General features: G+C 45.8%; 2 long non-coding RNA genes across 4 annotated transcripts in view; both read right to left on the reverse strand.

Annotated features, from left to right (window-relative positions):
* Window positions 1-18,053, reverse strand: part of LOC105370003 (uncharacterized) — a 389,555-nt gene that overhangs the window by 225,455 nt on the left and 146,047 nt on the right. The window lies entirely within an intron of this gene.
* The window catches only part of LOC105370002 (uncharacterized), a 59,593-nt gene that overhangs the window by 17,422 nt on the left and 24,118 nt on the right, over window positions 1-18,053 (reverse strand). For both annotated transcript variants that reach the window (NR_188487.1, NR_188486.1), the window contains exon 3: window positions 2,690-2,880. This is a non-coding gene — a long non-coding RNA (uncharacterized LOC105370002). The remainder of the gene's footprint in view (window positions 1-2,689; window positions 2,881-18,053) is intronic.

Below are 18,053 nucleotides of genomic sequence, written 5' to 3' on the forward strand. Positions count from 1 at the left end.
GTTGGAGACAGGCAGTGGCGGAGGCTGCGAGTTGCTCGCCAACAAACAAAAGTTGCCTTTCATCTGATCCAGTGCTCCCGAAGAGGAATCACTTCCTCCTGCCTGGGCGTTTATGAAAGCCGACAGCAGAGGCGAGAAAACAGCCAGCTCTTTCTGCGCGTGATAAAACCATTACAATCAATTTAGGCAGCTCACAGGCGCGCAGACACTCTGTGTCGACTGGATTCTGTTACCGGGAGTGGGGTGGGGGGAGCTGGGGCGGGGTGGGGGGCGCGAGGGGGGCCTTCTGGGAGACTGGAGCATTCGGCCTTCCGCGGATGGGCCCCATTACGGCTGCAGGCTGGCGCCACTGCTGCGGGGGCTCGCTACCCAATGAAAGTGTCATCCAACTGGAAGATGGGGGGGCTACCAGTGTTAGCTTAACTCCTGCGGTCTCGCAGACTAATTGCTCACGGTGGAAACACGCCTCAAAGTGCTTTGGCCTCGTCAATAATAGGGTATCAGATGCTTTCCATTCCACAGCGCATTGATCTGTTTCCTCCCCAGGCCTCCTCCTGGCTCCGCTCCCTGGCGTCCCCCCACCGGTGCTGCCCTGGCTTCTACCTCTGATGACTCTTCTTCCTTTTTTTTTTTTATAAGTGTTTTCTAAGCGTGTGTTTAGCATGAGTGGTGCCTAAGTGCTAATTGTTACACCACAGATTGATTGGCGACGAGATGGCTTGCCAAGTTCCTCCAGTCTCCCGGGGGGAGGAGGGCGGGGCGGAGGGAGGAAGGGTGGGGAGGGCTTAGGGTGGGGGTGGCAGCGGTTGTCGGAGGGAGGAGGAGAGGGGAATCCTTGATACTTCTGAGTTGCCTCTGAATCTATGTCTTTCTGGGTTGGAAACTCGTGCCTGCCGTCGGGGAGATTCAGTGAGGGGGCAACCTCTACTGATACTTTGTTATTTGAGAAAATGGCATTGCTTTCTTTGCCAGTGCTGAATAAACCCTGGAACAGGCTGCAGCTGATGGAATCAAGCAGGGAGGATAAGTAGTGGGGTCAAACGTCCTTGCTGTCCCGGGCAGGGAGCACGTTGTTTTATCCATGACACCCCCTCAACAACCCCCAGTCCAGGTCTAGGTTAGGGTCCCTGCCAAATGCCCTGAGAAATAGAAGTCTGTACTTAGCCCATCATCCCTTTTTGGAGTTACTTATTATCTGGTGCTTTCCACTGACCTGTTTTCCACAATGGTGGGAACCTAACGCGGAGCGTGTCAGGTTCATGTTGCCCCCAAAACATTTATTCTCATTCATCCAGACCACTGGGTTTTGAGGTCTTTGGAAAATGGGGTTAGCTGAGCCTGTCAAGATTCCCGCAGGTGGGATTCCTTTGACACCTAAAATCCTTCCAAAGGCAATGCTGGATGCTTCCTTATAAGGCATAGAAACTCTGTCTTGGCAATGAATACGCTGAAACACTTGCACCTGACAGGTGAACCTAAAATCTTTGGGTGTGTGCCTAGTTCAAATGAGACAGCATGGAGTCTATTAATCCAGTTGTGAAATCCAACCAGCTTTGGAGAGCAGCTTCTGACCCACTTGGAAACTCTATCCTCCAGGTGGAAAGTGGGGGGCCTAAGAGACATAGGCGGTGAGGTGCACTTGGAAGGCAGACAGCCTGAGCTCCACCTCTCATCCATCTGGTGACACTGGACAAGGCACTTAACTTCTTAGTGCCTCAGTTGGCTCACTTGTAAAACAGGGATAATGGCAATGCCCAACCCATATCAGGAGGGCAAAATGAAAAGCCATCTGGTGATTAATAAATATTCCATCAGCAGTGGCTGGTACAATCACTGCTTTGTAATCTTTCTTCTTCGTTCTGAAATACTCAGCATTGTATAGTCTTGCTGCTCAAAGTATGCTCCGTGAGCAGTGACTTCAGCTCATCTGGAAACTTTTTAGAAGTGCAGAATCTCAGATACTGCCCCAGACCTACTGAATGGGAATCTGCATTTTCACAAGATTCCCCAGGAGATTTGGGAGCACACTGAAGTTTGGGAAGTACCAACTTATACATACTAGAACCCCTTCTTCCCCAATCCAGAGCATAGTAAATGCACAGCTTATATTTGGACTTCTTGGGGAGGGCAAGCATGACATTTAACAGCTACCCCAGGATGAGACAACTTCACTTGCTTTACAGTGGACACGAACATGAGCTCTCATTGGAGTTTTACCCTTTGGCCAACCAAGAGCTACAGGTATCTAAGGCTTGGTTTTGCAACTTTCTCTTGGGACAAGCATCCTTGGCATTTTCCTAAGAGATTGGCTGGCTTCCTGGGAAATGACAGCTCTGGACAATTCTTCCCTGAAAATACGCAGCAGAGTCATAGTTTACCTGCAGCCTTCCCCAGTTGATGGAGTATCCAGGCAGGCAGTAGAATAGGATGGTTCAGAATATTGGTTATGGGAACAGCCCTGAGTTCAAGTGCAGAGAACAGCTTGTGGGACATAAACCCATTAATCCACCTCTATCCATTCTGTGCCCGCCCTGGGACCTCTGCATGTGCAGCCTTTGCTGGTCTCTGCCTCTTTCTCGTTATTCAAATTTGAACTAAATGTTACCTCCACAGAGACACCTCCCTTTCTGACCTCCTAAAGCAATCATCCTCTATGTAATGACCCTATTTCTTCTTCTAAAGCACTTACCAGTGACAGAAGTTACCTCATTTGTTTCTGTGTTCCTAATCTGTGTCCTCCCATCCACCAATTAGAACATAACTCCTTGGGGACAGTAGTTCTGTCCTTGTTACCAGTGAAACCACAGTGCCTAGAACAGCAGGTAGTACAAAGTAGATGCTCCAGAAATTATTGTGGACTGACTCCTTCAAGTTTCTCATCTGTAAAATGGAGATAAAAGAGTGACTTATTTGCTTAGAATGGAAGTGAGGTGACCACGTAAAGCTCATAGATCAAGAACATATACCAGGCCAGTGCTCAATATATAGAAGTGGTTATTTATAGCGTAATAGTGGTATAATTTAATACTGAAAACAAGCTCAAAGAGATATTTGCTTACCTCTATCTTTGACATAAATACTATTACTATTTCTACTACCACAACCAATAATAATAATCTAACAAGACAGTCACACGTGCGAAAGCCAAGCCCACTCTTATCTCAAACTGGTATTTTGGTGTCTGCATATGTTTGCTTGGGGACAGAAGTTAAAATACACAGAGACGTGAATTCCGCAGTACCAAATAAATAGTTGGTGAATTAACAAATGAATTGTACTTTCCAACTACCTGTCCTTGGGCAGGCTACTGTGCCTGTGCAAGCCTCAGCTTCCTCATCATGTCATTTGGGGTAATAATAGCTATTCCATGGAGTTGTGGTTGTAGTGAAGATAGACAGAGACAATGTGTTTGAAAGCAGTGGTTTGGTATATAGAACTCCTTCAGCAAATATTGTCTTTTCTAATTTTATTCTCTCTCCAGCGCCTGTGGTGGAACCATACTTGGAAGTATTTGCCTCATTTTATAGACAAGGGAATGATATTCAGAGAGGTTTGAAGGCTTTTCCAAGTTTCTCTCCCTCTTTGTCCCCCTCTTCCTCCCTCCCTCCTTCCCTCATCCCCTTCTCTTTCATACACACACTCTTCTTAATTAGGGAAATAATGAAAACTCAAAAATTTTTTTTAATCCCAGATCATTCCCAACAAGAAAAGGCAACAAGACTCCAACCCAGTTCCAGCCATTAGCTTTGAAATTTTCTAAGTCTATAGCAATGATATTGGTTAACACCAGAGGGTTTTTTGTTTTGTTTTTTTTGAGATGGAGTTTCTCTCTTGTTGCCCAGGCTGGAGTGCAGTGGCGAAATCTCGGCTCACTGCAGCCTCCGCTTCACGGGTTCAAGTGATTCTCCTCCCTCTGTCTCCGAGTAGCTGGGATTACAGGCGCCCACCACCACACCCGGCTAATTTTTTGTATTTTTAGTAGAGACGGGGTTTCGCCATACTGGGCAGGTTGGTCTCAAATTCCTGACCTCAGGTGATCTGCCCACCTCGGCCTCCCAAAGTGCTGGAGTTACAGGTGTGAGCCACCGCACCCGGCCTGAAAGTCACTTTAAGACCTATAAACAAATCCTGGAAAAATAATTATTATCTGGGAAGGACTGCTGATCATGTTGTCTTAGGTCACTGGTTTTCAGACCATTTCTTTAGCTTTAGTGCTATTAGGTCACGCAGGTTCTTACTCACATGGAGCCACAAATGATGATAATTATGACGACAATGGTGAAGACGATAGCTAAAATTCTGAGCAGTCACTATATGCCAGGAACTCTATGTAACATTCAAGACGCATTTTCTCATTTAACTCTCAGAGTAACCCTATAACATAAGTATTATTTCTGTCTGCCTTTTACCAGTGAGGAAGCTGAGTCTTCAAGAAAGAAAGTCGCTTCTACAAGGTCACGGAATTAGTAACTGGCCAGCCCTAGACATGAAGCCAGGTCTGTTTAACATCCATCATGACACAGTGACTTCTGATCATGTCCAGTAGAAACCTCTGAAGAAACTTGGGGAACAGATTTGGTCTCTGGTGACCCCAGTTTAAAAATCACTAACCTCAGTCCTTTCTAAATCCAAGAATCTATAATGTTAGTTTGTTGGGTATTTGAGTCTCATCATCCCCTCTGGTGTTCATTGTAAAAGCTGAAAGAGGAAATGAAGAACTAACCAAGAAAGACATAAGAACACAAGCCCTATTGCTATTTCTTCTCCATTGCCCCTTTGGCCACAACTTAGAGGGTAATTAGCCTCCCACTGCAGGCAGGCTGCATTTTGGAGAAAATTCCTAGGTTCAAATCCTAACTCCACTGTTCTAATTGCTGTGTGACTTTGGGCAAGTACTTTGATGTCTGTCAGCCTCAGTTTCCTCATCTGAAAAATGGAGATAATGATACCAACCCCACTGAGTCATTATTGGATTAAATGAGATGGTCCATTTAATTGTTAGCCCACTACCTGGCTTATGGTAAGCACTCCAAAAAAAAAAAAAAAAAAAAAAAAAACTACATGAGTGAGAGATTACCTCTTTATTCTATGGTTGGCAAGGTAAAAGACAGATTTTTCTGAACTTTTCTTTAGTATCTAAAATGTGTGACTATATTTGTGCTTTAAAAATTTTCCATAACAGCTAAGTAACTTTTTTTTTCAAATTAAATCTTAAACAGAGACCATATAAAAGTAAGACAGGGTGGAGAGCCATTCTATTTGAAGTAGCAGCCCTTCTGTCAATAACCCCTTTAACACAATCACAGAAGCCTTGGATTCTTGTGACCCAGTTTAAAAACCATTAAGCTACCCAACTGCATGTGTCCTGTGCTCAAGAGCAAAGCCCCTTTCCTCCTCCCCACCTGCTCCATGAGGAGACTGAATAGAAGGCCCTATGGCTCCAAAATCATGTTGCTGTTGTGGTTATTGTTGTTTCTTTCTTCTGTTTCTAGAAATTTCTAGTAGAATTTTATGATAAGGTATAATTTAGGCCAATCTTATTTATTATGCAACCAGTCTGAATAAATGAATGGATGCATAGGTAAATAAGTGACAAATTGATGAGTAAATGGAAGTGTGAATGAATGGATAGGTGGGTGGGTAGGTGGGTGGATGGATGGATAGACGGGAAGGTGGTGGATGGATGGGTGGATGGATGGGTGGATGGATGGATGGATGAATAGATGGAATGGGTAGATAAATGTGAGCTTGAATACAATGGGGAAGTATGGGATGAATGGATGGATGAATGGGATGACAAACATGGATGGGCTGGGATGGGATAGGATGGGTGGTAGCCAGGTGGAGTAATGAATGAATAAGTGCAAAACTGAGATAGAGGTATAAGTGGGTGGGTGACTGTGATGATGGGCAAATGGATGGACAGGTGGGTGATTGAGTAAGTAAATGGATGATTGTATGGGTAGATGGATGTACGAATGGATGTATGGATGAAGAATAGATGGATGGACAATGGATAAATGGACAGATAGATGATGGATGGGTGGGCAATGCATAGATGGATGGGTGTATAGATGGATGAACAAATGGCTCAGCAGAGGGATGAGTACTAACAGTTTAACCTGTCCACGCGAGCACTGATAGTGCACTCTGTTACAGTAGAAATAAAAGTCTGACTGAGAGGGAGTGAGTGACAGGAGAGAGACTAAGTAGTGGCCACGGGGCTCAGTGATAGGTGCCACCTTTAGTGCTCAGTGACCTAAGACAACATGATCAGCAGTCCTTCCCAGGTGCTGGGAAGCACCTTTTCCAGGATCATGATGTCATCTAATCCTTACCACTGCACCAGAGGGAAAGAAATCCTATTCCATTTTGCAGAAGAGGAGATTGGGGTTTAGAGAATTTCAATCAACTTGCCCAAGGCTGTGCAGCGATTAAGTGGCAAACCCAGGTCCCTGTTACACCACCATCATACTTTCTGCATAGAGATTCTCCACCTGTAGATAATTTTCCAGAAATGTAAAAGAAAGTTATTAAAAGCAACATAGCTAAAGGAAAAAAAGGAACAGCAGAGAGGAAAAGGAAAAGGCTTAAGGGTATGAAAAGACTAACATTTATTGGGCACCCATGTATACCAGACTCTGTGCTTTATATATGCTTTCTGGCTAACTTTGACAGCCCATTAGGTTGAGATTCTTAACTTCATTTTGTAATCAGTAAATTGAGGCTCAGTGTGGTTAAAGAACGCTGCTGCTAGAGTCCTATTCTAATTTGTCAGGGATTTGAACCCTCTTCAGGTTGGGAATGAAACTTGACGAAGCTGCCTTGAAGATCCGTCCTTTTGCTATCAATTTCACGAGATGGAATTTCTAAAAATAAAGGAAGAAGAGGAGAAGAGAGAGGAAAGGAAAGAATATATACAAATATCCAAATATGGAAGATAAGGAAAAGAAACATGACCAAAAGGAGGAAAAGAGAGGAAACCAATTTTATACAAAGAGAAGTAAAGGGAAGATGAAGAAGAAAAGAAAAGGCGAAAGAAGACAAAGGACCCAAGAGAGGAAACCAATTTTATACAAAGAGAAATAAAGGGAAGATGAAGAAGAAAAGAAAAGGCGAAAGAAGACAAAGGACCCTTTTCTTGATCCTCTCTTGTCCAGAGAAACCGCAGCACAAATTGCAATGGACGGTTCCCCCTCTCGCAAAGTGCCTTTTAGCTTGCGCGCCTGCCTCTGAGGGCCGGGGCGAGAGAGACGGCTGGCGTCGGCTGCAACGGCTGCAACGAGTCTGAAGGCGCTGGCAAGAAAATCCCAAGGAAAGCTCAGTGTCTGGGGTCATCCGATTAAAGGAGGCAATGAGGCTGCAAATGGAGGAGACAGGGGGAAGGGGAGAGAGGAGGGGGATGGCGAGGGGGGCCGCTGACCCCCATGACCTTCTGCCTGCACTAACCTGATATAACAAATAGTCCTGGAAAACAAAATAGTATTAACCCTTGGAGCCAGGTCAACCCCTTCTGCATTTGGCTGGGCCTGTTGGACTCTGCTTCCTAGAAGGTTTAACTCTTTCGTGGTGTCCTTTCATCGCCACGTTATTGCCCCACTCTCAAATTCATCCAGATTCACCCGATTAGAATTAGATGCCCATGGGAGGTGCGGAGGTCCCCGTGTAGTCAATGCAGACACAGAGGAAGTGTCTCCCGCTCATCAAAAACTGGGCAAGAGCTTCTGGAGAGAAAAATGATCTCTAAATTTTTCATCAAGTCTGAGATTGTATATTGACTCGATTCTATTAAAACAGCCATCTTTCTTCCTATTCTCCCTCCCTAGTCTGAAAGTTAGATTAATATAAAGCCTTGCTAAGTGTGGTTCATGCACAGGTAATATCAGCGTTACCTGGGAGCTTGCCAGAAATGTAGGATCTCAGGACCCCACCCGAGACCCGCTGAACCAGAATCTACATTTTAATAACACCCCTAGATAAATGGTATGCAAATTTCAGTTTCAGAAGCACCCATAAACCCATTATCCAGCTTAAGAAATAGCTTTCCTTGGCTGGGCGCCATGGCTCACGCCTACAAGCGTGTATTACATACAACACTTTGGGAGGCCAAGGCAGGCGGATCACCTGAGGTCAGGAGTTCAAGATCAACCTGGGCTACGTGGAGAAACCCTGTCTCTACTAAAAATACAAAAATTAGCCAGGTGTGGTGGCACACGCTTGTAATCCCAGCTACTCAGGAGGCTAAGGCAGGAGAATCATTTGAACCTGGGAGCCAGAGGCTGCAGTGAGCCGAGATCGTACCACTGAACTCCAGCCTGGATGACAGAGTGAATGAGACTCTGTCTCAAAAAAAAAAAAAAAAAAAAAAAAAAAAAAAGAGAAGGAAAAAAAAGAAAAGATAAAGAATAGAAGAATAGCTAGAAATAGGTTTCCTCTTTAGAACATCTGCCTGAATCAGAAATTGAACACACACACACCTCAAACACAACAATGGCAGTCTTTTTGTTGTTTGTTTTTGAGATGGAGTCTTGTTCTGTCACCCAGGCTGGAGTGCAGTAGTGCAGTCTCAGCTCACTGCAATCTCTGCCTCCCAGGTTCAAGCGATTCTCCTTCCTCAGCCTCCCAAGTAGCTAGGACTATAGGCATGTGCCACCATACCTGGCTAATTTTTGTATTTTTAGTAGAGACAAGGTTTCAAATATTGGCTTGGCTAGTCTCGAACTCCTGACCTCAGGTGATCCACCAGCCTTGGCCTCCCAAAGTTCTGGGATTACAGACGTGAGCCACGGCGCTCGGCCAATGGCATTCTAACTTGACCAAATTGTTAGGAGTTTTGATGTTTAGGAGAGGGTCAAAGAAGTAATCATGTTAATTGATCAAGTACTATAACTAGAGTGAGTATTAAACTTGGTGGTTTCTGTAGAGTAGACAGCGGTTGTTTTTGTCATTCCAGCCTCACTTCCCCTGTTATTCTGGTAAAAGTGCCCCCCCCTTCTTTGAGGCTACTCCTGCTCACTCACTCCAAGTGGTTCTGATGGGACCATCACCCTGACCTCTGATTGGATGACTCAAGCCAGACAATTAGAATCCTTCCCTAGGATTTTGTATGCTGTGTGGCCAAGTAGGCTGGAATATGTGGAGCCTGGGATTCCTGTAGCCAGTCACTTCTCCACCTGGCTGAATGGTCCACAAATGGATAGAAGGCCCATCTTCTGGTAGAGAGAAAAGGAAAAACACAGAAGAAAGCCAAACCCAGGAATAAGGAGATAGGGAGAACATGGGCCACCCTTTGGGTCCCTACAGCTTCTGAGGTAAGCCCCACTCTGGACTCCTGAATATGTGTGTTCAATAAATCCCCTTTAGGGCCCAGGGTAACCTGAGGAGGCTTTTGTTTTTTGCATCTGAAATAGTCCAGACTCTGAGCCATCAGCTTACTCTGTGACCTTGAATTTCTTGGACTCAGCCACCTCATTCAAGCTGCTTGCAGCCCTGCCATGATTTTCTGTTCTTCTGAACTATTAACCGCTATGGTGAAGCTGCCTTGGCACAGAGACCATCCTCCAAATTCCAGGGCCTTGGAGGTCTCTGCTGCAACACCTCCTTCCTGGGGAGATTCTCCCTGACTCCCAACTTCCAGATTGCCTGACAGTCACTCCCATAACACTGCCATTTGCAGTACTCGTGATGATGAAAACCTCTCCCTGCAAAACTACAAGCTGCCTTGAAGATCCGTCCTTTGGCTATCAATTTCACGAGATGGGATTTCTAAAAATAAAGGAAGAAGAGGAGAAGAAAGAGAGAGGGAAGGAAAGAATATATACAAATATCCAACTAAGGAAGATAAGGAAAAGAATCAGAAATTGAACACACACGCACCTCAAACACAACAGTGGCACTGGTTGTGTCTATCTTGGTTGCCATTAAATGCCCAGGGTCCTGCCCAGAGGAGGCACTTCATAACTCCTTCTTGAGCCAATAAATTCTAAATATGTAGAGTTGTCTACATTAGCAATGGATGGAGAAGCCAGAGAGAAGTGGATGGGGGGAGAGAATACGTCTCCTAAACTTTCTCTTCTGGGCAGTGCGTGATAAGCAAAATCTTTAACAACCAGTATGGCATGGGAACTAATGAACTGAAATGGAATCTAGCCATATACAACCCACATGAACAAAATGTTTCTAGAGATTATGTCCCTCTGTCTGGATTCCAACATGAAGGGCTCAGAGTACTAGGAGTGATTTCAGACCCTGAGGGGTACTCAGACTATGGGTTGCATCCCCCTTCTGCCAATATCCACTCTATTTTCCCTCTCCAAGCAAAATCTTCACTTCAGCACCTCATGTTCAGAAATGCCATGTGCAAAAATCAGTCTGCTATTGGATTCTGGAGCTGGAAAGGTTCCTTGTTGAGTCCAAACCCTTTATTTCACAATATGCTTAATAGGTTCAGAAGATGATATAACTTGCCAAAGCCAAGTAATAGCAAAATGAGAACCAGAACCCACCCCTTCTAATTTTTTCTACTATACTACCCTAGGAGGATGGACAAAGGATGTTAACTCCATTTGAAATGAGTCCAGAGAGCCAACAGGGCTTGCTTGATGACTCGCAGTGGTTAGGGCAGAGTGAGAGCAGGGATCCAGGTTTCCTGACTCCACAGGCCATCTGTAAGCACTTCTCTTATACTTTCTTCTCTTTTTTATCAGTCTTTGTCTTTTTCCCTCAATCTTCCCTCCCTGATCATTTCCTGCTTCTCTCTTTATCTTTCTTCTTCAGACACTGCTTAAACTCTGAGAGTCAAATACCAGAGACTCTGCCTGCCTCTGGCAACATGGACAACTAATGCTGGTAATGATGAAGATAACAATGATGCCAGGGGTGGTTATTTACTGAGCTCTTGCTCAGCACCAGGCACTATGCTGAGGGCCTCCATCGATTATCTCATTTAACCTACAAAGCAACCTTATGGAATAATATTATGTGCTCATGCACAAACAGCTATTTATTAGATGTCCACCATGCCAAACATTGGGCTAGGAGCCGATAACAGGTTAGTGAATTAGTTCTCTATTGTTGCAAAGCAGATATTCCCAAGACTTAGTGGCTTAAAATAATAGCCATTTATTTTCTCACATTATCTCTGTGGACTAGGAACTCAGGAGTTGCTTAGCTGAGCAATTCTGGCTCAGGATCTTTCAGGAGGTGGCAGTCAAAATATCAGCCAGGGTTGCGGTCCTCTGAAGGTTGGATCTGGGGGATTGGCTTCCACCATGGGACACTCTCATGGTGGACAAGGTGATGCTAGCTGATGGCGGGAGGCCTCAGTTCCTCATAAGTGGACTTCTCACTAGGGTTGCTTGAGCGTCCTCAAAATATGGCATCTGGCTTACCTCAGAGAAAATCTCTTAGTCCATTTTGTGTTGCTATAAAGGAATAACCGAGGCTGGGTAATTTATAAACAAAAGATGATTTTTTGGCACACAGCTTTGAAGGCTGCACAAGAAGCATGGTGCAGTATCCACTCAGCTGCTGGTGAGGGCTTTGATGTTACATCAAAACATGGCAGAGAAGGTCAAAGGGAAAGTGGGAACGTGCAAAGAGAACCCAAACCCAAGGAGCATCCTGGCTTTAAAAATACCCACTCTCTTATAAATGAATCCATTCCCAAGAGAACTAATCCAGTCTCACCAGAGCATAAACTCAGTCACCACTGCAAGAACAGTATCAAGCCATTCACGAGGAATCCCTCCTCGTGATCCAAATATCTCCCCCTAAGCCCCACCTCCAACACCGCTACAATGGGGACCAAATTTCAACATGAGATGTGGTGGGGATGAACTAGATCCAAACCATAGTAGCATGTGACCCAAGGGAGGGCAGGTTGAAGCCACAGTGTCTTTTGTGACTCAGGATCAGCAGGTACCAAGATAATTTCCACAATATCCTATTGGTGACCCAGATCAGCCCTACTCTGTGTGGGAAGGGACTTCATGAGGACATGGATACCAGAAGATGGTATTATTGAGGGACATCTTTGAGGGTGGCCACCAGAGTCAGTGAATGGCCAGGTGCAGTGTCTGAAACCTATAATCCCAGCACTTTGGGAGGCTGAGGCAGGAGGATTGCTTGAGGCTAAGAGTTTGAAATGAGCCTGGGCAACAGAGTGAGACCTGATATCTACCAAAAAATAGAAAAACTAGCAGGAAATGGTGGCTTGCACCCGTAGTCTCAGCTGCTCCAGGAGGCTGAGGTGGGAAGATTGCTTAAGCTTGAGAGTTCAAGACCTGTCTGGGTAACATAGTGAGACCCTGTCTCTACAAAGAATAAAAATTTTAAAAGACACACAAATGATGTTCATGGTGCTCACTATCTATTGGACCATCGTGACATTTTAACATTAAGGAAATGAAAGGCCACAGATAATGAACAATTCACAATTGATTCAAGGTCCATATGTAAGAGTGTAAGAGTGGAGAAGTGAAGCTGCCCCCACCTGATACCCTAACAAGCATTCCCCATCTTCCCCACCACTGGGCAGCCAGGCTTCTGGAGCGAAGCGAGCCACTGCGATTGCAGCTTGGCAGGATCCAGCACCCAAGACTTGGCCAACCTCCAGCAAGCTCACCCCTCCTGCCCTCTCCTTGGATCATTTATTCCAGGAGCCCTGCTATAAATATCCACTTAGTGAAATGCCTTGCTCCTCGGGCACCCTCTTCCCTGCTCCCTGGCCACCTGCACCCTGCTCAAGCAATGCCAACTTGCAATCAGTCTGCAATCTGAGTCTGCTTTGCACACCCAGCACCAACTGGCTGCCCAGGCTAGTCTGCGGGAGCATGCTGGCATGCCCCCAAGGTTGCTATTGTAAGTTAATGGCACAGCAATTGGTTGTTAAAAACACTAATTGACATTAAATAGGTGATGTTATCCAATAACTTACAGGCTGCTCCAATTCTATATTTTCTTCTTTTCTTTCTCCATTCCTTCTAATGCCCTGCAGTACCCACAGAGGTCAGGAGTCACCTGGACATAGGCAAGAGCTTAGGGCCAGAGGACAAGTACACTCCAATTGTCACTGCCTCCCATCCACAGCACAGATAAGCCCAAGACTGATGGCCTGGCAAGAAAAGCAGGGCTGGGGCTGGACTCAGCTTTCCCCTTCTGGGCTTCCTTAAGTGTCTCTAACCTGAGGATCCAGGTGGTTCTGGGAGAGTCAAAGATGGAAAGGTTGGGAGTTCTGTCTTCTATGTGCAAGTTAGGATTCAAGCTGTGTTTGCTCTCTGTGCAATGCATCACTGAAAAGAAACCATTGTATTTCTTTAGCACTGGGTGCTACCTAAAGTCATTTTTTACTTTTCATGCTTTCTCTGCTTAATGGCTAATAATAAGTAATTGCTTATAATTATTGAATATAATTGATGGAAGTCAGATACTGAGCTAAGCCCTTGTATTCATTATTTATTCCAGGGGATCTTTCTACCTGTTGCAACCACAAACCTCAGGCTCAGAGAGGGGATGTTACTTGCCCAAGGATACACAGCCAGGAAGCCCAGAGCAGAGGTTTGCATGCAGGCAGCCAGCTTCCCAGTCCAAGACCTTCTCCCCTGAACCACACTGAGAGGTGGTGGCAACCCAAGGACATCCCTGTGGTGGGAATGGTGGAAGACCACCGTGTTCATTTTCGTTCATGTCCTTCCAGGACTGAATGAAGGAAAACCTTATACCCTCTTACTATGGAACTCAAGTCTTGCTCCTCAAGGAAGACAAGTACTTTTCTCTCCAGATCCATCTTTTTCTTTGCTCCAGGTTCAGGGACTTGGAGGTTTGGCATTCACCGCACCACAATGCAAAGCCAGGGTGGCTTCTGGAGAAGTCAGATGTTAAGGGACTTTAAGACAAACCCCAATGGAGTTTGAGAAGGAAGACCCAAATGTGTAGTTTTCTTGGTTCAGTCTACAGCTTCCACAACCCATCTGCTGGTTCCAGGTTTGAGAAAAACTCTCAAGAGTCAGAGTCAGGGTCAGCATCAAGGGAAAGAGACCTTGTAAAGGTACCAACAGCACCTTGTCCCAGACATCATGCACTTACTCTATGCATAATGTCAGGAACTCTACATGGTTTACTTCTGGCTCTCTCAGCAATCCTGCAAGGGAGGCCGTATCATACCTATTTTATACATGAGAAAGCTGAGCCTCAGAAACGACTAGTTCCATGGCTTCACGATGGGTACCACCAAGGGTTTGGTGAGGGAATTGGGGGATGGGGGCAGTGCCAGGCCAACAGGTCCCCCATCCACTCTTCAGTCTGAGCAATGCCCATAAACTCGACTGACCTTTTTGGACAAAAGCTTGCGTGGTAAAAATTTAAAGATTAGAAAGCTCACTCTGATTAAAACCATAAGTCTGTAACTCCATCCCAGGGCAGGGAATGGCTACCTTGTTCGGGTTAGATTACCAGTGCCCACCAAATAACAAATACTCATCGAACATTAAGTCACCTAGAAATGCCAGATCTTTCATTTATATTATTTCATCTGCCAGTGACCCAAGAAGCCATCTCTTATAGCCCCCAGTTTGCAGAGGCTGAACCTCAGAGAGATGGAGTTCTTACTAAAGGTCATAGAGTTATTAGCAAGTAACAGAGTCAGAGAAAGTCTATTCAAGGCCATGAGCGATAGGCCAAATCATGGCCCTCCAAAAATGTCTGCATCCTCATCCAGGCAACATGTGCATACACTAGGTCATATGGCGAAAGAGATTTTGCAGATATGATTAAGTCAAGGATCTTAAAATGGGGCAATTACCCTGGATTATCCCCATGAAATTGCAAGGGTCCATCAAAAAGTCAGAGAAGGAGGTGTGACCATAAAACCAGAGAGAGAGGTGAGGATGCTGCGCTGCTGGCCTTGAAGGTGGAGGACGGGGCCACAAGCAGAGGCATGCAGGCTGCCTCTAGAAACTGGAAAAGGCAAGGAATGGATTCTCCTCTAGAGCTTCCAGAAGGAAAGCGGCCCTGCTGACACCTTGGTTTTAACCCAGTGACACCCATTTTAGACTTCTGTCCTCTAGAACCGCAAGATAATCATTGCATGTTGCTTTGAGCCACTAAATTTGTAGAAAATTGTTATTAATAACAGCAGCCACAGGAAATTAACGCACCAGGTCACACTCTTAACAGCCCGAAGTGCAATGCCCCTGCTTGCATTTTATTGGCACTGAGTCATTTAAAACCCTGGAGCACCAGACAAGTTCTTTTTTCCCTGCTAGAGCAAGATACTAGAAGGCATCCTCAATATCCATCACCTCCATTGAGAGGTGGGGTTAAGTGGCGTCAGTAGCTTTGGATGTAGGAACAGCTGGGGTAAGAAAAGTAATAATCCACATTTCAGCCTTGTCAGCAGGACTGCTTCTATCCCCAGTCTCAGTGTCCAAGGAGTAGATGGAAGGGAGAATTCCACGTTGTCACAGTTGCCTCCACGGGATTACTCCGAGGCTACCTGGGGTCTTTGCCCACCACCTCAGAGTCCCCAGACGGAGAGGCGCCTTGCCACCCTGTCATCTGGGTCCCCTGGTGAATGGAGCCTGGCGTCAGGCCTTAATGGGGTAATGAGTTGGAGGCGTCGGAAACAATGAGTTCAGCTTGTTAAAAGGACAGGGCTGGCACCATGAGGACAGAGGGACCACAGCTGGAGACAGAGAAATGGGTCTTTGGGGGCCTGGTGGTGCCTCTGTGGGCCCCAAGGGGGCTGGGTGGCTGGGCTACCACTGGCCCTGTGCCTCTTAAAACCCATTACTTGCTGCCTTTGGCTTGGGAGCTGGGAGCTGAGCGTTTCATCAGTGCAGATTGGACCCAGCGGATCAATGGCTCAGTCTATGGGCTTTTCCTCCCCCTCCCCTCTGCCTGTCCCCCTTCCTTAACTAGATGTGGGCGCCAGACCCACAACAGGTCCTCAGGAGTTGTCAGTCAAGGGCTATGAAATATTCATCTTCTTTAATCTTCTTCAGGGACCTGCCCAGAGCCCTGATGGGGGCAGAGTAGTCTTGATAAACTTGTAAAGACTGGAGAGAGGGGAGGGGAGGGAAGGGAAAAAGAGGGGAGGGAGCTGAGGGCAGAGATACGGCAGAAGTCCACTGAAAAGCAGCCAGGGCCCCTCTTCCTGATGCTTTCTCCAAAGACACGCATTCAACCAGCATTTCTGGAGCACCCACTGAGCACCCACAGTTGCTGAACGCATTTGCATCCGTGATCTTGGTGCTCCCAAACCTTGGCTGGCGATGCATCTACCTTTCCATTTTCACAATATTCATGTATCACCTGAAATATCAGTATTTTTTTCTTTAGCCTCACATTAAGTAATAACATCAGTGAAATCACAGTGCTGGTTATATATTTTTGAAAAAATACATTTATATATTGTAAATAATATACAAATATGATAAACCTAGAAATGTATGTATAAAATGCATTCGGTTTTTAAAAATTGCCTAGATACAGGTTCCGTCCTGGAGCACATATCTTAATTACTCTTCACAACATCTCCAAGAAGAAGGCATTATTGCTTCCAATTACAGAGAGGAAACTGTGGCTCAGAGAGTTGCAGTGACTTGCCAAGGTCACACAGCAAGTAAGGGACCCATCCTGAGTTCAAACCCAGGTATTTAAACTATAAACACAAAAATAGCTTTCTGAAAAAAAAATCACTAGTTTTCAGGACATTTAGGTAAAACTTATTAACTAGAACTTCTACCTTCTGCTTTGCACTTTTTAGTAAATTGCGACCCTTTGTTTTGATGTGAAATTATACAGCTTTTTAAAATGTGTGTGTGTGTGTGTGTGTGTGTGTGTGTGTGTGTGTGTGTGTGTGTGTGAAACAGTGTCTGTCACCAGGCTGGAATGCAATAGCTCACTGCAACCTCGACCTCCTAGGTTCAAGGGATCCTCCCATCTCAGCCTCCTGAGTAGCTAAGACTCCAAGTGATGCCCCCATGCCCAGCTAATTTTTAACGTATTTTTCATAGAGACAGGTTCTCACCACATTACCCAGGCTAGTCTCGAACTCCTGGGCTCAAGTGATCCTCCTGCTTCGGCCTCCCAACACGCTGGGATTACAGATATGAGCCACCACACTTGGCCTCATGCAGGTTTTGATTGGAGAAGCCCTTTCTATGTCAATATCCTGCAGAGTTTCAGGAAGTGAAAAGTCTCAATGACTATTTCTAAGCGAGTACACAAGCAGCCAAGAAACCTGGGACACTCAAATTCTTTGTTCCCCCCTACCACACCCCATCATTGGCTTGATCATCCAGTTCTGCACAGTGTAATCCCCCTAGCATTCCCTCTGCAGTTTGACCATCGCGCCTCACTCTCCACGGTCTAAGCCAAAGCTCTCTGTCTCACCTGGGCACCTGCAGCAGCCTCTTGAACCTGACCCAGCTTCCTTATCTAGACGTGAGCACCAGGCCCATCACAGGTGCAGCATTCTCTCTGTGCATTCTCCCCATGATGGCCAGAGTGACTTCTAAATGTAAGCCGAGTCACAGCACCCTTCAACTCAAAGCATTCAAATAGGGTCCCATCCCATTTAGAATGAAATCTGAACTCCTGCCTGGGTCTAGGGCAGCAGCCCTGTCCTCCCCACTGACATCACCTCTTGACTCCCGGCACCCCTATCCCTCATTGACCTTGCGGGAGACCCACTCTACTTCCATCAAACACTGCAGGCCCCACTCCTGCTCTGGGACCCTGCACTAACCCTTCCCTCTGTCTGGAAGGCATTTCCCCGAGACTGTCCCACCACCAGCTCGCTAGTCTTCCCTCTGAATACCCTAATCCCGAAACTCCTCCCCAACCTGGTATCAGATAATGTACCACACCAGGCTTTATCTGAGAGTCAGGAGAGGAAATTCCAATGACTGTTTTTTCCACTGACCTTGGGCAATTTTTTTTTTTTTTTTTTTTTTTTTGAGATGGAGTCTTGCTCTGTCCTCCAGGCTGGAGTGCAGTGGCATGATCTTGGCTCACTGCAACCTCCACCTCCCGGGTTCCAGCGATTCTCC

This window comes from Homo sapiens, chromosome 12 (genome assembly GCF_000001405.40).
Source record: "Homo sapiens chromosome 12, GRCh38.p14 Primary Assembly".
In the NCBI taxonomy this organism is placed as follows: Eukaryota; Metazoa; Chordata; class Mammalia; order Primates; family Hominidae; genus Homo; species Homo sapiens.